At 36.3% G+C, this 24436-nt stretch overlaps 1 annotated feature.

Annotated features, from left to right (window-relative positions):
• Positions 16913 to 17413: an enhancer, noted in NCBI's record as "OCT4-NANOG-H3K27ac hESC enhancer chr3:144829251-144829751 (GRCh37/hg19 assembly coordinates)". NCBI's record gives its function as "activates a minimal SCP1, AML or CMV promoter by ChIP-STARR-seq in primed H9 embryonic stem cells {active_cell/tissue: H9 hESC(primed)}" and the evidence as "EXISTENCE:reporter gene assay evidence [ECO:0000049][PMID:30033119]".

A 24436-nucleotide genomic window follows, 5' to 3' on the forward strand; every position in this document is an offset into this window, starting at 1 on the left:
AGGCCATGAACAGAAGGCTGTTATGCATAGCTTGCCTGATAATGGGAACTATAACAAGAAATTTTTCCATACCACAGCTTACTACATGAGTCACACAAGGGCAGCTAACAGCTCAGGGACAACTAGCCGAATGTACAGGAATATTTGCCTGTTCAAAATCTATCTCAAGAGCCCAGCTGAAAACTACAAGAGCCTAACTGTAATTCTAAGATTACAAATCCTACCTAGCAACTGCTGACACTTCCCAGTTAGACTCACCAGCATTTCTAAGACGCTGCCAGCACCAATAAGCTTTCTTTCAAAACAATTTGTGTAACCTCCTCCTTCCTTAATAAACCTAACATTTCCTTTGTTCCCCTGACATTCTGAAGGCCACGCTGGTCTAGATGTATGTCCCAGATTGCAATCCTAGTTCTTTAATGTTATTCTGAAAGAAAACCTTTTTACTTAGAGATTTGTCTCTGTTTTTTATGTTGACAGAAATCAATTAATTAACATCCCACCTGGTATTATATTAGTGTGTTTCATCTCTGAAGTAGTTTTCTTAATTACAAATACTATAAAACTTCATATATTTGCTCCCTCAAAGAAACCATTGATCCATTTTCCCACCTATAATCACTGGGTCTACTTGAAAATTATTAGTTTCTGATAGATTTTTATCTGATCTTTCTCATCGGAGTCTATGGTACCTGTAGTCACTTTGTAGTTCTGTCCATCAAGAAAAGGATTCCATGTTAGTCTCATGGACATTTTATCTGCATCTTTCAGAGCATGCTTTTCTTGGATCTCAAGTAGGATCCTTGATCTGAACTTCTGTTAGGGTAATAATTCCAGCTTGCTCTCTGGTATCTTTTATATTCAATTAAATATCAATGGAACCCAAGTTTCCTCCAGTTTAGTTTTGGGGTTGTATCTCTTTATTTTTATTTAACTTTAATATTTTTCATTTGGGTTTAATTTGTTCTCTATTTTGTATGCCTCTCAGACTTTAGTATACATACAAATAACATGGATATAATACATATATGGATCCATTATTTGAGGTGTAGCCTGTGATTGTGCATTTCTAACAAGCTCCCATGTGATGAAGATGCTGCTGATGCACAGCAATATTTTGTTTAGAGATAAAATTCATCCATCTTTGAATTTTGTTCTTCTCTTTATTTCCTACACTTTCCAACATTTTTAATCGTGTAATACTGTTTCCTGAGCACCATACTCTGTTCATTGAAATATCTGGCAAATATTTTACCTTAGTATAAAATCATTCAAGGCATAAGCAATTTTAAATATTTATTAAAGGTAATAAACATGATAAGGGATCGAGTTTGGGGGTCAGAGATACACCAATTATTCACTTTCAGACTCTTTTAACACTGGTTCCCTCTGTCTAATTTCCCCCTTGGGGCAAAATGATAAGAGCAAATGTCACCCTACAGATCCAGGGACATCTGTACTATAGGAGAGGAAACCTGAAATTATAAATCCCAGAGCTTATATATAGCAGCATGCACAGCTGTGCCTCCTTTCTGGAGAAACAGAAATTTATCCTTTAATAAAAAAAAAAACAAATCTCTAGTTTTCTAGGCTCATTATTTTTTAGAATATTAATGAATGGGTTTAGAGGCCATATTTCTGTAAATCTCTCCTAATAAATTTGCTACCTCTAACATTTATTTATAACAACATTGCCAGTAATTTAAGCTTAGAAAGCCTTGGCCTTAGAGAAATATGAAAAACTTTATAGATCATTTATTCCCACAAAACTTACTTTTTCATTCATGTATACTTTTTGCACATTAGGTATTTGGGATTTCAGAATGATATTTATTAATAACCTATTATCACTCTTCCTAACCTGCACCTTATCTTCTTTGTTTTGTTCCTCCCTCCCTCCCATTCTTTTCTCTCTATTCTCCATTTGCTTTACACTGAATGTCCACAGCAAACCATTCTAAAGAGTTTAATGTATAACTAAACAAACACTTTTCTTAATCCAATTTTCTGTCAAAGGACATTTGAATTGTTTGGTTGGGGCTATTAGGAAAATATAATATTAAAAACATTCTTGAGCAAGTCTTTCCTGGTTAAATAGGAGTAAAATTTCTGGGTCATAGGGTAAATATATATAACTTTATAAGATTTTATAAGTATTCCATTTGTTTTACATCCTTAGCAAGACTTAACACTGCTAGTCTTTTTTCCCTTTATTTTAGTCATTCTAATGTATATAAAATGGGCTTATAAAATAAATAGTTTATTGGTTAACTTGGGGATGTTTTATATCTTTAAACTTTAAAATACCCTATGAAAGATTATAAAATATTATTTCCTTATTTAGCTTTATTGAGCTATTATTGACAAGCATTCTATATAATTGAGGGGGTAAAACATGGGTTTTGATATACTATACATCCATGGAATGATTACTACAGTCAAGCTAATTAACATGCCTATCATCTCTCATGGTTACCTTTTGTGTGTGTGTGGTGAGAATACTACAATTCTACTTATTCTTCTTTCAGTGTGGGCAACAGTGTGCAACTTTTCGGTGCTGTGGAGCATCGAAGCAGCTGAGGTTCAGAGTGTAGATACCTGCAGAGCTACAACAGCTCCAGGGTCTGGGGTTCAGGAGCTTCCTTTGTGAAGTAGACCTGATGTCTAAGAAATGGGCCCTCATAGTATGCCTGGAGCCAGGGTCGAAAGTGCAGGTGCATGAAGAGCAACCATGGCTCCAAATTCAGGGCTCTGGCTAGCCCACAGTGATGGTGTATGTGATGTCTGAGGCATGGACATTCATGCGACTGTGGAGCCATGGTCTGGAGCAGAGGTAAATGCTGAGCAGCCAAGGTTCTGAGGTCTAGAACATGTGCAGGCTTGGGAGGGTAGCAACCCCAGTCCTGGGTGGCATAACAAAGGCTCCTCCTTGGGTGAAAGTGCCCAGCAGCCTTTTCTTTTCCATTGGGTCCATAGCAGTGATGGCTGTTGGTTATCTTAATGGTGAAAGCTGCAGTTCTCCTCTATATAGCAGGAAGTGAGGGTCTATGCTAATGAACAATAAGGGGACCTCTAGTGTGAAAATGTTTGGGAGTTCTTGCCTACTACAGGAGCTATTGAATAGCTCATTGGCAAAGGCTGCTGGAGTACAAAGCTAGCCACTGGGGACTGTGGTGACATCTGCTGCGTGGCTGATACTGATAGCCCTGCCCCTCGCCTTTGATCCTAGCTGTCTCCAGACATCTCAGGTATGGGAATCTCTCCAGTAATACTCCACTGTGTTGCTCCAGGTTCTTATTTGGACTCTGGAGTCCTGTGAGGGCTACTGTGTGTGTGGATAGATTCAAATTGTCAGTTTTTCTTGGGGAATGAAGGTGAGAATCTCCTACTCTGCACCTTAGAATATTATTCTTTTAATTTAGATAAAGTACTTTGTCTTAATTGGTCTCTAAAATTCCTCTTTTCAAGCAGAGTTGACTTATGTGATCTTAGTTTATGTCTAGACTCATTTGTCTGTAATGTTTTTTAGTACGTGAATGGTATCTTAAGTTCAGTTGCATTACCTAGTAATCACTGGTGTATAGAAAACACTTGTAATTGACAACTTTGTGTAAGTTCTGATAAACTATGCTTTTTCCTTGGTAATTTAACAATAACTTAATTTATTTAATTATAATTGTTACATCTTTTTATTTTTGCATTACTTGATTCCATCTACCAGGCATGCCAGGACTATGTTAAATAGTGGAAATATTTAGTAGGCAAATTTCTTGCTGATTTCAAAAGGCAATCATCTTAAGTTTCAACATTAAGTATGATACTACATTTGCTTTAGGATGTTGACATATAATCATTACCAAGTTAAGAAGTTTTCTTTTATTATTCTCTTAGAATTGTTTTCTTACTTACTACAATCAAAAGTTTTAACATAATCAAAGATTTTAGTATAATCATTTAAACAATTACTATAATCAAAATGTCTTTGTAAAAAACTCTCTTTCAGATATTGAGATACTTATGTGATATTTCTCCTTCAATTAATTTATTGAATTGCATAATTACATTTTCTAAACTTAAACACACTTCTAAGTTTAGGACCTAAGTTAATAATAGCATATCGATAAAGAAATAATTTTGAGTCTGATTCACTAATAATTGATTTTTGAATCCATAGTAAATTGTGTCATTTGGTTTCTCAGGGTTTGGTACCATGGTTATATAAGTCTCATCTAATGAATTTGGGAATGTTCTCTCAATCTCTCTCTCTGATTTTAAGTTTATTATTGAAAAGAACTTACAGACTATTTGTTAGAGAACACTAGTGAACATATCTTGTCCCTAGACTTACTTTTCTTTTTATAATTTGATTACATTTTTTAATGGCTGCAGATCTAGCCAACTTTTTTTCTTGATTTGTGTTATATAAAGTGGCTTTGTATACTTCCAATTATTTGAATATAACATACTGTCTAAGTATTTAGTGGAACCCCAGCTGTTTTACAGGCATTATTTATCCTTCTCTTGTTCAAAATGAAGAATTCTAACCAACCTATGTTCATATTGTCCAGTATTTTAACTCGAGACCTTTTTCCAAAATTAGATTTGATGACTATTGGTTTTATTCTCTTCACATGTTGTCTGTTTTCTATTCTGTTTTATTTCTCTAGATGTAAGTAGATATACTTGTGACCTCCCACAGTGTTTTCCATGTCTTCTATACTCTCCTTTTATTTGTCTGTCTGGATTATGGATTATGGATAAAAGTATTGAGGTCTATTATTAAGTTTTTTTAGCTATAGTTATTCTGAAAATTGAAAGGTATCCTGGCAATTATTTATACTTTCTTATTTTCTAACTGAACATTTATTAATGTGTCTGTATATGTGAATAAGCATTTTCTAACACATACATGCTATAGGATTAAATTTGCCCTTCAAATTGAGATATAAGATTTACTAAAATGCTTTGAAATAAACATTTTAAACATATTTAACTTTTATATGCTATTAAGATAGGAAGCAGAAAATATGTTTATATTTATATATATTATATATAAAATATTTATATTTATTTATAAATAAATATAAATATAAAATATTATAAATATAAAAAGCATATCAACATGACATGTTGGTGACACCTATATGGTTACTATATCTTGCTGTATCAACTGTATTTGCATACCACAAATGTTTAAGATTCATAGACGTTTTTGTCATTTAAGAGTTCTCTATGAGTACACTTTTTTCTTTTTTGTTTCATTGCTTTTATATGAGATCATACTAAAATTAAATGTGTTTTTAAAAAGCAAAAAGAAAGTTTTTGTTCATTGTTTTAAATACATTAACTCAGTTATTTAACATTTCCTATCTAAAAATTACAGTGTGTAAAGTCTTAAAGGGCTTCTTCATGCTTTTTATTGTGTTGCTGTTTTTGCTGTTTCTAAACCCAAGCACCTAGTTCCATAAAATTATGTGTGTGGTTGCCTATTGACTGCTTATTTTTCTTGAAAAGAATTTATTGAAAATTCTTTCTGGTCATAGAGGATTAACATCTTTTTCTACCAGACGTGAAGGGGCATTAACAACACAGAACCAGTTGAAATCAAATTCTCCATTTGAATATCTTAGGCCACAAAGGTAGCACAGGTTTAAGCATGAAATCAATCACATGAGGTCATACTTTTAGTTACAATTTTTCATGGAAGCCTCCAAGTTTCAAATAATTGAATCATGTAGATTACGTATATTTACCACAGTAAAATCTAGTAAGAAATAAACAACAAGAATAGGAACCAATGCAGGAATTATCATAAATATTTCTATAAATACGACTCATCAGAAAGTCGATTTATAGTGAAATTAGAAAACACATTGTACCGAAGCATGATGAAAATATCCAGAGCCAGAAGACTAATAAGTTTCTGCTTAAAGAAAATATAGCGACAAGGCCCGGTGGCTCACGCCTGTAATCCCAGCACTTTGGGAGGACGAGGTGGCAGATCTCAAGGTCAGGAGTTTGCGACCAGCCTGGTCAACATAGTGAAACCCCGCCTCTACTGAAAATACAAAAAATTAGCTGGGCGTGGTGGCAGGTGCCTGTAATCCCAGCTGCTTGGGAGGCTGAGGCAGGAGAATCGCTTGAACCTGGGAGACGTAGGTTGCAGTGAGCCGAGATCGTGTCGCTGAACGCCAGCCCGGGTAACAGTGCGAGACTCAGTCTCGAGAAATATATATATATATATATATAGTTATGTAATATAAAAATTAAAAGTCTATAAAACTAAGGCTATTTCAAGAAATTTTAAAAGAAGCAATCTAAACCCAGAGAATGTAGATGAAAAAAAATACAACAGCAGAAATTAATGTTGTATAATACAAACAACAGAAAAAAAAAAACCCAGACAATTGTTAGTTCTTTTAGATTAATAATTGATTAACACTTTGAAAGACTAATCAGTTAATGAAAAAGAGTAGGCACAAAATGAATTATGAATACAAAAGGATCATCACTACAGAGTCTGTAAATATTACAATGATCATGAGGGTATGTACTACATAATTTTATGCCAGTTAAATAAATAAGTAAAATGGAAAGACTGTTAGAAAAATAAAACAACAATAAGTTAAGATAAAATAGAAAACTTCAATAATTGTATATTAAATTGAATCCGTATTTTAAAACTTCATATACTACTGTAAATAGGCTAGGCCCAAATTACTCAAAATTTCAGAGGTTTAACAGATCAAATATTCACTTTATGCTCATGGCACCTTTCCATCATGGCTTGTTGGAGTTGCAGTTTTTCTCTACATCATCCTGTCATAGGGATCAAGGCTTATGAAAATTCTATTTCTGTGCTTCCAAGATTGGTGTGGCAAGGGGAAAAGAGTTATATGATATCTCAACTGGTAATTTAGTGTCTCTGCCTGAAAACAACACATTCAATTTCCACTCATTTCATTGATCGAAGCAAGATAGATGGCCATACCATAATACATGGGTTCAGAAATGTTTAATTTTATCTCAAGCCTGTAATTCCATTAAATGTAAGTTGAGTGAATTCCTTAACTTTAAAAGTTAAATGTAGATACAAAATGGATACAAAAATTTTTTTTAAATGTAGACAAACCCAACTACATGCTACCAACATGAAACACATCTTAAATACAAGTCCAATTTTAAACGTATGATTAAAGTTTAAATAACGTAAAAACATCATACAAACTATAAAAGAAATTTGGTGCAACTCAGTTAATAATAGACAGTATAATTTCTAAGATAAAAATAATAGGAAAATATAAAGGATAATTGTACTAATGTCAATGAACTTGTAAATATACTAGCATAATATCACAGTTTTAAATTTATATGCATCCAATAACATACATTCAAAATAAATAAAAACTTACTGGACTAAAGAATGAAATAAAAAATTCACAATTGTAGGAAAAAACAGTAATATATTTCACTATATAGCTGACAGGAAAAGTTAAGTGAAATAGACAGACTTAATGAAAAACAACATTTAAGGAGAAAACCTATGAGAAATTATACAACATTATATTGGACAATAATAGAATATACATATTTTTTCAGATAAGCATAAAACGAAAAACAAATGACTTCCTTATGGTGGGTCATAAAATAAACCTTACCTCAATTCCAATAAATTTAAATTATCCCAAGAATTTTCTTAGAGTGAAATTAAGTAGAAACCAATAAAAAAATAATGAGAAATGGAAAGCCCCTAACTACTGGGAAATTAAGGTATGCATTTCTGAATAGTTTATGAGTTAAATAAAAATGTAACAAGGGAAATTTAAAGAAATGAAATTAATTAATATTAAGTGATGACATATCAACACCTGAAGGGCGCACCTCAGTATTAATTAGATGAATATTTGGTTTCTAAAGTGCACACACTACTAAAGAAGAAGTGAAAAAGATTGATCTAAGCATCCATCTCAAGAACCAAGAAAAAGAAGACAAATTAAACACAAAAAATGTAGAAAAAGTGAGTAACAAAACAATCAGATATCAGTGAAATAGAAAACAAATATACAATAGAGAATACCAACTAGATGAAAGTTTACTATAATAAAAACTTGATAAAATAATAAAACCCTAGTCAGAGTACAGACAGAAAGGCAGAGATAAAGGGAAGGAGGAAAGAAAGATGTAGCAAATTGCTGATATCAATAACTTAAATGAGAACATCACTATAGATCGAGAGACATTGTAAAGAATTACTAACAACATTATGACAGTAAATTACAATTGAGATGACTTGAGTTACGCAAAAACAACAATTTATCAACACTGACACCAATAGATTTTCAAAAAGCACTGAATGGTCCTGTATCTTAAAAAATAATTGAATCTATTACTGAAAACCTCTCAATAAAAAATCTCAGAGACATGATTGCGTCATTGGTGAATTTCTCCAACATTAAAACAACAAATAAGAGTTTTCCATAAACTTTTCAAAGAATACAAAAAGAGGGCACAATTTCCAACCTGTATAAGAAAATCTAATGATAATCATCATTATCTTTACACATGCAGAAAATGCATTTGACAAAATTTAGTAGCCATTTACGAGAGAAAAATAGCTAACTAGCAATAGAAAAGAATTTCCTTAATATGACTAAGGATGTTAAAACAAATCTTGCAGTAAACATCAGACTTGGTGATATTTTGAAAACTTTCTCTAGACATTTATAACAAAATAAAGATGATGTTATCAGTTATACAATGCTACTAATAACATAATGCTGTGCTGAAGAAAATAGAAAAGGGAAAAGGAAAAACACACACAGATATTAGTGTCTTAAAACAGTAATGCTTCATTTATTTCTTTAGTCATTGGATAGGCAATAAGACTAACTTTACCTATCTTATTCTTTTGATCTCCGAATATCTAATGGAAAGTTGATTGTGAGCTGAACTAGGATGATCTCAGCTGGAATACCTGGGTGGCTCTGCTCTTCTTCAGGTGTCTCTGATCCTCTAGCAGGATAATTTGTGTATTTATTTATAATGTAATAATATAATTTGTGGATAATATAATGTATATTTGTGGATTTGTGGATAATATAATATAATGTGTAATATGATTTGTGGATAATTTATCATGTCAATAGCTAAGAACAAAAACAAAGGTAATCCCAATCAGGCAAGTCCTTTTCAAGTCTCTGCTTAATTTACTTTTGTTACCATCCTATTGACCAAAGCAAGTCCTGTGGTCAAGCTCAAAGTTAGAGTGGGAGGATACTGAAAATTTACCAGATAAGAATGTGCATACATGGAGAAGTGACACATTGATGCCTTCAGGTAAAATAAACCTATGGAGTTAGATATTAATATAATGGTTTTCAGTAGAAGTGCCTGGAAGGGGCACAGAATACTTCTGAGATGTTGATAATAATCTGTTCGAAAAGTCCATATGACTTTTGCTTCGCAGGTGTGTTAGTTTATCAAAATTCATTGCACTGTATACTTATTTCTATGCATAAGACACTTTAAAAGGTCATTTTAAAAAACAAAAAAAATAAATTAATTAAAAATTGCAGATGAAAAATGTAATTAAAAACATGATATATTACTATCTAACCAAACAATTTGTTAAATAAAATAATTTCAAAGCACAGATGAAGAGTTGATAAGGATGGATATAAGAAATATTGTATGTTCCTAAGGGTTCTTTTATCTGTTTGGTGATAAATCGTACAACGACTTTAGAAAATAAACTTCTATGCTAGTACAGGCATAAAATGCCGTATGACCTGGCCACTTCATACCCAGGTACAGACAGAAGAACTTATTACATATGTGCTTTTAAATAATTTGTACAAGAACAGCCATAGATGAATTACTTAATAATAATAAAAAACTCATAACATTCAAAATGTATACTTAGGATGGATAAATTGTGATATCATCATACAGTAACATCCTTTACTGCAATAAGTAAAATACAGCTACACATAATAACATGGAAAAATGTAAGAAGCATATACTGAACAAAAAGATCCAGATCCAGAAAAGCACTTATTACATTGATTCTATTTATATAAAATTCAAAAATTACCAAAATTAAGCCAATGCCTGTGGAACTAGTACACCTCCAAAAGAAAGCATTAAAATCATAGCAAAATTAAACCAATGATGCTGAAATAGTAAAACTCTAAAAGAAAGCACAAAAGTCAGCACACTGTTCACTTTGGCAGTGTTTGATGCCTGAGATGGGACACAAAAGAAACTTCTGTTGTGCTCATAATGTTCTGTTTCTTTTCCTATTTGGATATTACACAGGGTTTGCCTTTTGATAAATTATTGAGATGTAGATTTTTGTTTTATTTACTTTTCTCTAAGTGTGTATTATTCCACAATTAAATTAAATAAAAAATCCAAGTTAATGGTTGACACTGTTTGGAGGAATACAGATGCATTTGGATAGAGCTACTTTGAGGACATCAAAGATAACAGTAATATTTTGTTTGTCAATCTGTGTACTGCATCAAGGGTTTTTATTCTATGATTCATTTTTTTTTTATTTGAAATGTTCCCTATGTACATGGGTTACTGAATAGGATCTATTTTGTAATAAATTTTAAAGGAACATTTGGTTATGCATTTGCAGGTTAAAATGTAGTTTTCTGCGAAATGCTCTCATAATTTTGCAATTCCTCTGAAGCACTCAAATAATATAATCCAATCTTTCAATTTATATGCAAGTTAGATAATTATGACATATATGCAAATGCAATTAAGAGTGTTCATATATGCAAATAACTATAACTTCCAACATGATAAATATTTCAGTAATTCCATAACAAGAATAGCATTTATCAGGAAATGATTGCTTACTCAATCTTATTGCAAGTTATTATAATTTAAAAAAATTTTTTCTATATATTTAGAGATGGTTAAGAGAGTCAAGTCTTACTGTAGACCTTCGTATATCCTGCAATCATTATCACTGTAATACCTATAGGGGTGGTCAGGAAGACTTTGTAACTCAGTTGTTTGTATTAGATCACATGCCTTACTTGTACAACTTACATATCAGCTTTTGACGAATTTTGGGTCCTTGTCTGTCCATATCCCAATTTATTTTATTTTATTTTACTTATACACAGAACTTCCTGACTGCTTTTACTGCGTTCAGATTGTCTTTGCCACACATACTGACTTCAACCATTTCCCCCAACCTTGTTTATTTGTATATTTCTGTCCTCTTTCTGATTTATTCACACCTGTTTTTGTTTATTATATTATTTGCTCAAAACTTAGGCAGCCCAGATATTTTTTATGGTCTTTAATTATGTACAAAATGCCATGGGTTCTCTTTTTGGTGCAATGCCCGGTTTTATATTGCTTGTTTCCCAAACAGTGAGAACAGCAAGTTAGGAACAAATTTCATACCTATATCTTCCATTGTTTAAATATAATTACAGTTATATTTTAAATTCTGAAATTGTTTTAAAAATAAGCCAGAACAAATTAAATGTATAGCATTATTAGTTGACTGTATTTAAAGAATGTTGCTTCTAAAATGCATCAAATGGCTTTTTTTTTAACAACCTGGAGAAAAGAAACAACAAAGATAATAATAATTGAGAAAACATGTGGACTAAAATTTTCCCTGGAAAATTGAATTGCACATCAGTATAATAATTTTTCAGAGAAATTGTTCAGCAAATAAATCTGCTTACTATGAACAGAAGATTAACTGAATTAATTTGACAAATTATTTGTTACTGAATAAAACTGTTTATCAGTGATTTCCCAAGTGATATACTTTTGAATGATAAATTCTAACTTAAGTGTGTATCTACATTTTGCAATAACTCTTTACTCTTTTGCTTATGTTTCAGGCTTAAAATCTGAACCATGTAGTAATGATGATGATGCATGCAAAGCTAATATAACTTATGAAAGGCTAAATAACATCCTCAGATCAACAATTTGAATAGTATATTTTGGATTTTAAATTGTTTTAGTAAAATTTTGTAATTTAGAAATTTCCAAATAATAAGTTTGTTGGATCAAATGGTTACGATACACAGAGAGTGACAGAAAAATCATCTTTCAAATCAATTATCAGTATCACTACAATACTTTTTGTTATAACAAATAAACTAGAAAAAGAACAGGCTGGATTTCTTAATACAAATGCTAATTAATTTATTCCACAAATAAGAACCAAATTAAAACTGTGACACAAATTAAAGTAACAATTAAGCTAACTCATGCAATTATTCATCTTTCAAATAAATGAGGTTAGAAGAGATGAATCTTGCCATTGATGCTGCAGTGCAAATTACCTAGTTTTAAAAAATTCATTAGAATAGTTAATAAAGCCTGAGTCATCATTAGTTGTGATGTTATAAAGCTTCTTTTATAAAGAAGTAGGAACTGTTGTACAGATTTAATTTCCTTTTATAACAAAATAAGTGATAAATAGCTCACCAAGAATGCTTTCTATGAAGAATAGCATCAGTTTGTGTTTGATATTATTTCCCTACAGTCTAGCAGTTTTTCGAACTGTGTACCTGCTCAGTAAAAACACACTGAATTGGTGAACATATCTGGTAGATCAAGCAACTGATCAAATAGAACTACCTTGGTAGGGCACAGTGGCTCACGCCTGTAATCCCAGCACTTTGAGAGGCTGAGGTGGGCAGACCACCTGAGGTCGGGAGTTCAAGACCAGCCTGGCCAACATGGGGAAACCTAGTCTCTACTAAAAATACAAAAATTAGCCGGGTGTGGTTGTATGTGCCTGTAAACCCAGCTACTCAGGAGACTGAGGCAGGAGAATCACTTGAACCTGGGAGGTGGAGGTTGCAGTGAGCAGTGAGCCAAGATTGAGCCACTGCACTCCAGCCTGGGTGACAGAGCAAGACTCTATCTCAAAAAACAAAACAAAACAAAACAAAACAAAAAACATATAGAACTATCTTGCTTTATCTATACTTAAGATTCTACTACATAATATGCTCAACAATAAACAAAGTGAGTTACTAATAGCCACAAGGTGTGTGTATATATATATATATATATATATATATATATATACACATATACACACACACACACATATGTGTGTGTGTGTTTACAAACATATATATATATATGAAGTTAATATGCATATGTGATATATGCAAGCAATAGCAATTCTCCAAGAAGTGAACTGTTGCTGGCTTTAGAGAAGTAAAATGGGAAATCTCAACATAAAATTGATCAGAACTAGAAGGTATAAAACTGGCTTCAAGAGACAGAATAATCTAGTTCTACAAGATTCTTTATTGTAAATGATTGGAGATATTAACGTATGAATTGAATAAGAGTCATTCAGAAGTGTACCAGGTCACTCTCAGAAGAAAAGACACGACATCACCAGAGAAAGCTTTAGCAACATTTATCCTGACAATAGGTAGATGTAATAGAAAATGTGAATACGTGTCTGCCTCTGTTTCACGTTGTGAAGAAAAGAATGGATGCCATATGACTTTTCTGGTTTGTATTCCATACTCATCAAGAATGTTTTTGGATAATTTGACTTCTTAGACAGTTTGCCTACAAGTAGTCAATGCCCTCTTCAAATCAATGAGACATTTTGGTCTTTATGAAAGATCCACTTACAGATATCTACATATTAGGCTTGCAAATAATTTATAGCACTCCATTAATTTGTGGACATGGATAAGATTGAGTTTCAGACAATACCTTTGAGAAACAGATCCCAGAAAAAGATCATTTCAACAAAATATCCCCTGGTATGGATGTAACTAGAAAATCAGTTAGACTTCCTAAAACACTACCCCTCCCCTAATTCGACCTCCATCCCAAAGAATACTTCATTTACTTCTGAAGATTTCTTTCCTTTTGAAAAATTAGACTTCATTTTTAAGGCATTTTTAGGTTCACAGCAAAATTGAGCAGAAGATACAGAGATTTCCAGTATACTGTCTTCCCCCACATGCACAGACTTTCCCACTGTCAACACCTCGTAGCAAAGTAGTGTATTTGTTATAGTTTGTGAACCTAGAGTGATACATCTTTATCACCTAAAGTTCATAGTTTACATTAGGGCTCACCCTTGGGGTTACATGTTCTGTGACTTTTGACAAATATGTAATGGCATGCACCCACTGTGATAGTGCTCTGCAGAATAGTTTCACTGTCCTAACAATCCTGAGCTGCATCTCTTCATCTCTACTTACCACCTAATCCTTGGAAATCACTGACACTTTTATTGTCTCCATACTTTTGCTGTTTTCAGAATGTCTTATAGCTGGAATCATATAATATTTAGTATCTTCCTATTTGCTTCTTTCATTTAGTAATACACATTTTAAGTTTTCTCTATGCTTTTTATGGTTTAATAGCTCATTTATTTTTAGAGATGAATAATACTGTATTGCCTGGATATGCCATCGTTTATCTATTTACCTATTGAAGGACATTTTGGCTGCTACCAAGTTTAGGCAATTATGAGTAAAGCTGCTATAAATATCTGTGTGTAGGTTTTTATATGGAAATATGTTTTTAACTCTTTCGAGTAAATACCAAGGAGCGTGAATGCTGTATTAGATGATAAGAGTATGTCTAGTTTTGTAAAAAATTGCCAGTCTTTAAGAATGGCTGTACCATTTTTTTTTTCTACCATCAATAAATGAGAGTTCCTGTTCCTCCATATTCTCACCAGCCTTTGGTGTTATCAGTATTTTGGGTTTTGACCAATAGGTGTGTAGGAGGTGTATAGTAGTATCTCATTGTTGTAGTAATTGAAAAATCCCCAATGATATTTGATTTTGAGCATCTTTTCTTACTTTTTTGCCACCTGTATATCTTTGGTGAGGTGTTGGTGCAAGATTTTTTGTCCATCTTAAAATCAGGCTGTTCATTTTTTTAAAGCTGATTTTTAAGAGTTCTTTGTAACATTTTGGAGAACAGTCATTTTTCAAATACAGGCATACCTCAAAGACATTGCTGATTTGGTTTCATATTACCATAATAAAGTGAATATCTCAATAAAGCTAGTCATAGACAATTTTTTTTGGTTTCCCAGTGCATAGAAGTTATGTTTACAATATACTGTAGTCCATTAAGTGTGTAATAGCATTATGTCTTAAAATGAACCTACTTTAAATAAAATACTACATTGATTAAAAATGCTAACAATCATTTGAACCTTCAGCATGTCATAATCCTTTAGCTGATAGAGGGGCTTACCTTGATGTTGATGGCTGCTGACTGATCAGGATGTTGTTGCTGAAGGTTGGGTGGTTGTGGCAATTTCTGAAAATGAGGCAACAACAAAGTTTGCTGCATTTGTTGACTCTTCCTTTTACAAAAGACTTATCTACTATATGAAATGCTGTTTGATAGGATTTTACCCACAGTAGAACTTCTTTCAAAATTGGAGTCAATCTCCTCAAACATTACCAGTGCTTTATCAAATACATTTATGTAATAGTCTAAATCCTTTATTGTCATTTCAACAATGTTCACAGCATCATCACTAGGAGTAGATTTTATCTCAACAAACTACTTTCTTTGCTCATCCATTAGAAGCCACTCATCACCTATTCAAGTTTTATCATGAAATTGAAACAATTTAGTCACACCTTCAGGTTTCACTTCTAGCTCTAATTTTCTTGTTCTTTCTACCACATCTGCAATGACTTTTTCCACTGAAGTATTAAACTCCTTAAAGTTATTCATGAGGGCTGGACTCAACTTCTTCCAAGCTCCTGTAAGTGTTAATATTTTCACCTCCTCTCATGAATCACAAAGGTTCTTAATGACATCTACAGTGGTGATTTTTTTTTCCCCAGAAAGTTTTCAATTTATTTTGCCCAGATCAGAGGACTCATTCCTTATGGCAGTTTTATCCCTCTGAAATGTATTTATTTATTTATTTATTTTATTTATTTATTTTTGAGACAGAGTCTTGCTCTGTTTCCAGGCTAGAGTGCAGTGGTGTGAGAGCTCACTGCAACCTCTGCCTCCTGGGTTCAAGTGATTCTCCTGCTTCAGCCTCCCTAGTAGCTAGGATTGCAGGTGCATGCCACCATGCCTAGCTAATTTTTGTATTTTTAGAAGAGACGAGGTTTCATCATGTTGGCCAGGCTGGTCTCGAACTCTGGGATTACGAGTGAAAGCCACTGCGCCCGGCCTGAAATGCATTTCTTAAGTAAGAATACTTGAAAGCGAAAATCAATGATCCATGGGCAAATGGATCAGAATGGATATTTTCTTAGCAGGCATGAAAACACATTAATTTCTTTAAACATCTCCATCAGAGTTCTGGGATGACCAGGTGCATTGTCAATGTGCAATAATATTTTGAAAAGAATCTATTGCCGAGCAGTAGGTCTTGATGGTGGGCTTAAATGTAATCAGTAAACTATGCTGTAAACAAATGTGCTATATTAAAAGATTTGTCATTCTATTTACAGAGCACAGGCAGAGTCAATTTAGTATACTTTTAAGGGTCTTAGAATTTTTGGAAAGGCACATAAGCTTTGGTTTCAATTTAAAGTCACCAGCTGCATTAGCTACTAACAAGAGAGTTTGCGTCTCCTTTGAAATTTTAAAGCTGGGCATTTGCTTCTCTTTAGCTGCTTCCCTTTAGTCCTAGATGGCATCTTCTTCCAATATAAGGTTGTTTTACCTCCATGGAAAACCTGTTTTTTACTGTGGATGCTTTCATGCACCTCCATGTGAAGAGACCACCAAACAGGCTTTGTGTGAGCAATAAAGCTTTTAATCACCCGAGAGCAGGCGGGCTGAATCCGAAAAGAGACTCTGCGAAGGGAGATAAGGGTGGAGCTGTCTTATAGGATTTGGGGAGATAAAGGAAAATTACAGTCAAAGGGGGGTTGTTCTCTGGCGGGCAGAGTTGGGGTCACAAGGTGCTCAGTAGGGGAGCTTTTGAGCCAGGATGAGCCAGGAGAAGGAATTTCACAAGACAATGTCATCAGTTAAGGCAGGAACAGGCCATTTTCACTTCTTTTGTGGTGGAATGTCATCAGTTAAGGCAGGAACTGGCCTTCTGGATGTGTACATGCAGGTCACAGGGGGTATGATGGCTTAGCTTGGGCTCAGAGGCCTGACATTCCTGTCTTCTTATATTAATAAGAAAAATAAAATGAAATAGTGGTAAAGTGTTGGGATGGTGAAAATTTTTGGAGGTGGTATGGAGAGATAATGGGCAATGTTTCTCAGGGCTGCTTCGAGCAGGATTAGGGGTGGCGTGGGAACCTAGAGTGGGAGAGATTAAGCTGAAGGAAGATTTTGTGGTAAAAGGTGATATTGTGGAGTTGTTAGAAGAAATATTTGTGGTGTAGAATTATTGGTGATGGCCTGGATACGGTTTTGTATGAATTGAAAAACTAAATGGAATAAGAGAAGGAGAAAAACAGGTATAAAAGGTCTAAGAATTGGGAGGACCTAGGACATCTGATTAGAGAGTGCCTAAGGAGATTCAGCATAGTCCTGCCAGCAGATTATTTATTTACTTCAAGAGTTTAGAGTGGCAGTATGGGGATAGCACCAGGAGATATCAACTGTGATGGCTTGGAGAAATAATGCAAACTGGCAGTGTAAACAAGAGTAGGGCATGTATGAGTAGTTGAGAACAGTGAATAGGAGTATGACTAGATAGAAGATAGTAGGGATGACAAGTTTTTTGGGGGCACAGTCTAAGTTGGTCTGGTGTCTGGAATGAGACTGGGGCCTAATAAAAAGGAGCATCTATACAGGAGCTCAAATGGGCTGTACACTGTAGCATCCTGAGGACAGGTCTGACTTCTGAGAAGCGAAAGTGGTAAAAGTATTGTCCAGTCCTTTTTAAGTTGTTGGCTGAGCTTGGTGAGGTGTGTTTTTAAAAGACATTTAGTCCATTCTACTTTTCTTGAAGACGGAGGACCATAAGGGATAAAGGTTTCACTGAATACTAAGAGCCTGAAAAACTGCTTGGCTGATTTGACTAATAAAGGCTGGTCTGTTATCAGACTGTATAGTGGTGGGAAGGCTAAACTGAGGAATTATGTCTGACAGAAAGGAAGAAATGACTGCGGTGGCCTTCTCAGACCCTGTAGGAAAGGCCTCTACCTATCCAGTGAAAGTGTCTACCTAGACTAAGAGGTATTTTAGTTATCTGACTCGGGACATGTTGAGTAAAGCTAATTTGCCAGTCCTGGGTGGGGGCAAATCCTTGAGCTTGATGTGTAGGGAAGGGAGGGGGCCTGAATAATCCCTGAGGAGTAGTAGAATAGCAGATGGAACACTGAGAAGTTATTTCCTTGAGGATAGATTTCCACGATGGAAAGGAAATGAGAGGTTCTAAGAGGTGGGATAGTGGCTTGTACTATAGCATAGCCTGCCTTTGCTGGTGTGGCAATTAGGCCTGGTGGAACTGCCATCAATAAATCAAGCATGATCAAGGCGAGGAAGAGGAAAGAAGGAAATATGGGGAAATGAGGTGAATGTCAAGAAGAGTTTATAAGCTTTAAAAGGCCATGCTGTAACAGGTGAATGATAACAGGCTTTAATCCTTTCAAAGCATGCTATAGGATAAGATATTGGCATTGAGCAGGGTAAGAGTGATTAGGTTTTAATAGGATGGTAGCCTTAACTGATGACATTGTCTTGTGAAATTCCTTCTCCTGGCTCATCCTGGCTCAAAAGCTCCCCTACTGAGCACCTTGTGACCCCCACTCTGCTTGCCAGAGAACAACCCCCCTTACTGTAATTTTCCTTTATCTACCCAAATCCTATAAAACAGCCCCACCCTTATCTCCCTTCGCTGAGTCTCTTTTCAGACTCAGCCCGCCTGCACCCAGGTGATTAAAAGCTTTATTGCTCACACAAAGCCTGTTTGGTAGTCTCTTCACACAGACACACATGAAATTTGGTGCCGTGACTCGGATCGGAGGACCTCCCTTAAGAGATCAATCCCCTGTCCTCCTGTTCTTTGCTCCGTGAGAAAGATCCACCTATGACCTCAGGTCCTCAGACCAACCAGCCCAAGAAATATCTCACCAATTTCAAATCCAGTAAGCGGCCTATTTTTACTCTCTTCTCCAACCTCCCTCACTATCCCTCAACCACTTTCTCCTTTCAATCTTGGTGCCACACTTCAATCTCTCCCTTCTCTTAATTTCAGTTCCTTTCATTTTCTGGTAGAGACAAAGGAGACACGTTTTATCCATGGACCCAAAACTCTGGCACCAGTCACGGACTGGGAAGGGAGCCTTCCCTTGGTGTTTAATCATTTCAGGGATGGATGCCTCTCTGATTATTCACTCACGTTTCAGAGGTGTCAGACCATGCAAGGACGCCTGCCTTGATCCTTCACCCTTAGTGGCAAGTCCTGCTTTTCTGGGGGAGGGGGAAGTACCCCAACCTCTTCTCTCCGTGGTTCTACCCCTTCTCTGCTTTTCTGGGGGAGGGGCAAGAACCCCTCAACCCCTTCTCCTTCACCCTTAGCGACAAGTCCCACTTTTCTAGGGGACAAGAATCCCCAACCCCTTATTTCCATGCCCCGACCCCTTTCCCACTTTTCTGAAGGGTAAGAACCCCCGAACCCCTTCCCTCCGTGTCTCTACTCTCTCTTTTCTCTGGGCTTGCCTCCTTCACTATAGGCAACCTTCCACCCTCCATTCCTCCATCTCCCTTAGCCTGTGGTCTCAAGAACTTAAAACCTCTTCAACTCACACCTGACCTAAAACCTAAATGCCTTATTTTCTTCTGCAATGCTGCTTGACCTCAATACAAACTTGACAGTGGTTCCAAATAGCCAGAAAATGACACTTTCAATTTTTCCATCCTGCAAGATCTAAATAATTCTTGTCATAAAATAGGCAAATGGCCTGAGGTGCCTGATGTCCAGGCATTCTTTTACACATCGGTCCCTCCCTAGTCTCTGTGCCCAGTGCAACTCGTCCCAAATCTTCCTTCTTTCCCTCCCGCCTGTACCCTCAGTCCCAACCCCAAGCATCGCTGAGTCTTTCTAATCTTCCTTTTCTACAGACCCATCTGACCTCTCCCCTCCTCCCCAGGCTGCTCCTTGCCAGGCCAAGCTAGGGCCGAATTCTTCCTCAGCCTCCACTCCTCCACCGGGTAATCTTTTTATCACCTCCCCTCCTTACACCTGGTCCAGTTTACAGTTTCATTCTGTGAGTAGCCCTCCCCTACCTGCCCAGCAATTTCCTCTTAAAAAGATGGCTGAAGCTAAAGGCATAGTCAAGGTTAATGCTCCTTTTTCTTTATCAGACCTCTCCCAAATCAGTGAGCATTTAGGCTCTTTCATCAAATATGAAAAACCCAGCCCAGTTCATGGCTCATTCCGCAGCAACCCTGAGACGCTTTACAGCCCTAGACCCTAAAAGGTCAAAAGGCCGTCTTATTCTCAATATACATTTTATTACCCAATCTGCTCCTGACATTAAATAAAACTACAAAAATTAAATTCCAGCCCTCAAACCCCACAACAGGACTTAATTAACCTCACCTTCAAGGTGTACAATAATAGAGTAGAAGCAGCCAAGTAGCAATGTATTTCTGAGTTGCAATTCCTTGCCTCCACTGTGAGACAAACCCCAGCCACATCTCCAGCACACAAGAACTCCAAATGCCTGAACCACAGCTCCCAGTGGTTCCTCCAGAACCTCCTCCCCCAGGAGCTTGCTACAAGTGCCGGAAATCTGGCCACTGGGCCAAGGGATGCCCACAGCCCAGGATTCCTCCTAAGCCTTATCCCATCTGTGTGGGACCCCACTGAAAATCAGACTGTTCAACTCACCTGGCAGCCACTCCCAGAGCCCCTGGAACTCTGGCCCAAGGCTCTCTGACTGACTCCTTCCCAGATCTTCTCGACTTAGTGGCTGAAGACTGACACTGCCTGATCACCTGGGAAGCCCCCTAGACCATCACGGACACCAAGCTTTGAGTAACTCTCACAGTGGAAAGTAAGTCCGTCCCCTTCTTAATCAATATGGAGGCTACCCACTCCACATTACCTTCTTTTCAAAGGCCTGTTTCCCTTGCTTCCATAACTGTTGTTCATATTGACGGCCAGGCTTCTAAACCTCTTAAAACTCCCCAACTCTGGTGCCAACTTAAACAATACTCTTTTCAGCACTCCTTTATAGTTATCCCCACCTGCCCAGTTCCCTTATTAGGCCGAGATGCTTTAACTAAATTATCTGCTTCCCTGACTAGTCCTGGGCTACAGCCACACCTCATTGCCGCCTTTTCCCCCAGTTCAAAGCCTCCTTCACATCCTCCCCTTGTATCTCCCCACCTTAACCCACAAGTATAAGACACCTCTACTCCCTCTTTAGTGACCGATCATGCACCCCTTACCATCCCATTAAAACCTAATCACTCTTACCCTGATCAATGCCAATATCCCATCCCACAGCATGCTTTGAAAGGATTAAATCCTGTTATCACTCGCCTGTTACAGCATGGCCTTTTAAAGCCTATAAACTCTTCTTACCATTCCCCCATTTTACCTGTCCTAAAACCAGACAAGGCTTACAGGTTAGTTCAGAATCTGCGCCTTATCAACCAAATTGTTTTGCCTATCCACCCCGTGGTGCCAAACTCCTATACTCTCCTATCCTCAATACCTCCCTCCACAACCCATTATTCTGTTCTGGATCTCAAACATGCTTTCTTTACTATTCCTTTGCACCCTTCATCCCAGCCTCTCTTTGCTTTCACTTAGACTGACCCTGACACCCATTAGGCTCAGCAAATTACCTGGGCTGTACTGCCACAAGGCTTCACAGACAGCTCCCATTACTTCAGTCAAGCCCAAATTTCATCCTCAGCTGTTACCTATCTCGGCATAATTCTCATAAAAACACACGTGCTCTCCCTGCTGATCGTGTCCGATTAATCTCCCAAACCTCAATCCCTTACAAAACAACTCCTTTCCTTCCTATGCATGGTTACTGTGGTCAGGATTCTTACACAAGAGCCGGGACCGCCCCCTGTAGCCTTTCTGTCCAAACAACTTGACCTTACTGTTTTAGCCTAGCCCTCATGTCTGTGTGCAGTGGCTGCCGCTGCTTTAATACTTTTAGAGGCCCTAAAAATCACAAACTATGCTCAACTCACTCTCTACATTTCTCATTACTTCCAAAATCTATTTTCTTCCTCATACCTGATGCATATACTTTCTGCTCCCCGGCTCCTTCAGCTGTACTCACTCTTTGTTAAGTCCCACAATTACCATTGTTCCTGGCCCAGACTTCAGTCCGGCCTCCCGCATTATTCCTGATACCACACCTGACCCCCATGATTGTATCTCTCTGATCCACCTGACAGATGCCTTCATTAACGATCTCATGTAGATTTTCTGGATAACTTCCTGCAGCTTGTCCATCAGCACTTACTGCTTCACTTTGCCTTGTTTTGTTATGGAGATGGCTCTTTTCTTAAACTCTATGAGCCAGCCACTTCTAGTTACCAATTTTTCTTCTGCAGCTTCCTCACTTCTCTCAGCTTTCACAGAATTGAAGAGAGGCAGGGCCTTGCTCCGGAATAGGCTTGGGCTTAAGGGAATATTATGGCTGGTTTGATCTTCTATCCACACCATTAAAACTTCTTCCCTATCAGCAATAAGCCTGCTTTGCTTTCTTATCATTTGTGTATTTACTAGAACAGCACTTTTAATTTTTGTTAAGAACCTTTCCTATGCATTCACAACTTGGCTAGATATTTTGTGCAAGGAACCTAGCTTTGGGCCTATCTCAGCTTGTGACATGTCTTCCTCATTGAGCTTAATCATAACCAGCTTTTGACTAAAAGTGAGAGACATAGAGGCCATTATAGAATTATTAATTGGCCTAATTTCTATATCACTGGTCTCAGGAAATAGGAAAACCCAAAGAGAGGGATACAGATGGAAGAATGTTTTTCAATGAAACAGTCAGAACACACACAACATGTATCAATTAAATTCTTCATCTTATATGGACATGGATTGTGACATAACAGAACAATTACAACAGTAACATCAAAGATCACTGATCGCAGATTACCATACAGGTATAATAATAGTGAACAAGTTTGAAATATTGTGAGAATTACCAAAATGTGACATGGAGACATGAAGTGAGCTCATGCTGTTGGAAAAATAGCACTGATAGACTTGCTGGACGAAGGGTTGCTGCAAATCTTCTAATTGTAAAAGGTACAATATATGTGAAGCACAGTGAGATCTGATCCAATAAAACAAAGTATGCCTTCATGTGTTTTTCAAATAGTTTCTCCCAGTCTGTGGCTTGTCTTCTCATTCTCATTTTAGTGCCTTTCACAGAAAAGTTATTAATTTTAATGAAATGCAGCTTATCAATTATTTCATCATGATTTGTGCCTTTGTGATGTATCTAAAAGGTCATCACTAAACCTAAGGTCATCTAGATTTTCTCCTACATTATCTTATAGGAGTTTTACAGTTTTGCATTTTATAATTATGTCTATAATCTATTTTGAGTTCATTTATATATATATATTGCATTTTATAATTATGTCTATAATCTATTTTGAGTTCATTTTTGTAAAGGGTGAAAGGTCTATGGGTAGATTCTTTTTTTTTTTTTTTTGCATGAGGATGTCCAGTTTTTCCAGCATCATTTGTTGAAAAGAATATTTTTGTTCCATTGTATTTCCTTTGATTCTTCATCAAAAATCAGTTTATTTTGTTTATGTGGACGTGTATTTCTTTGTAGTCTTGTAGTCTTTGTTAAAAGTTTCTTTTGCAGATATAACAAAGGCTGTGACAGGACATCAGTTACCTTTTCAGAATGAAAGGATTTATTTTTAAAGCTGCTTGGAGTGTTGCTGGTAGAGAACCTTCAGCTGTCAGCCTTTTTTGGGGTTGCACTCAGCAGCTTTGCACATGGACCTGAGCTTTTTCTGAGGTAACCCACATCCAAAGAATGATTAACACAGTGGTAATAAGAAAGCAGTCAGTTTTGCCCAACTCAAGATAATGATGAGGGGCCTGATGACTTAAAGATCCCTGAGGCCATGGTTAAGGCTTTTGCTGAGAAGGCATGGAAATGTGCTTTAATTTAGGCTGCCGTAATGAGAGACCATAGACTGAGTAGATTATAGAAAACAGAAATTTATTTATCATAGTTCTGGATGCTGTCAAATCCAATATCAAGGTGCTGTCAGATTCATTGTCTGCTGGGGCCCATTTTCTAGTTCATGGATGGCAGGTCCTCTTGCTGGGTTCACACGTGGTGGAAGTGGGCTAGCTAGCTCTTGAGGGTCTCTTTTTTAAGGGTGAATCCCTTATAAAAGGGCTCTGCCCTCTTGACCTAATTGCCTCCCAAAGGCCCCTTCTTTCCAACATTATCATCTTTGGGGCTAGAATTTCAGCATATCCATTTTG

The sequence above is a fragment of the Homo sapiens genome, chromosome 3 (genome assembly GCF_000001405.40).
Source record: "Homo sapiens chromosome 3, GRCh38.p14 Primary Assembly".
In the NCBI taxonomy this organism is placed as follows: Eukaryota; Metazoa; Chordata; class Mammalia; order Primates; family Hominidae; genus Homo; species Homo sapiens.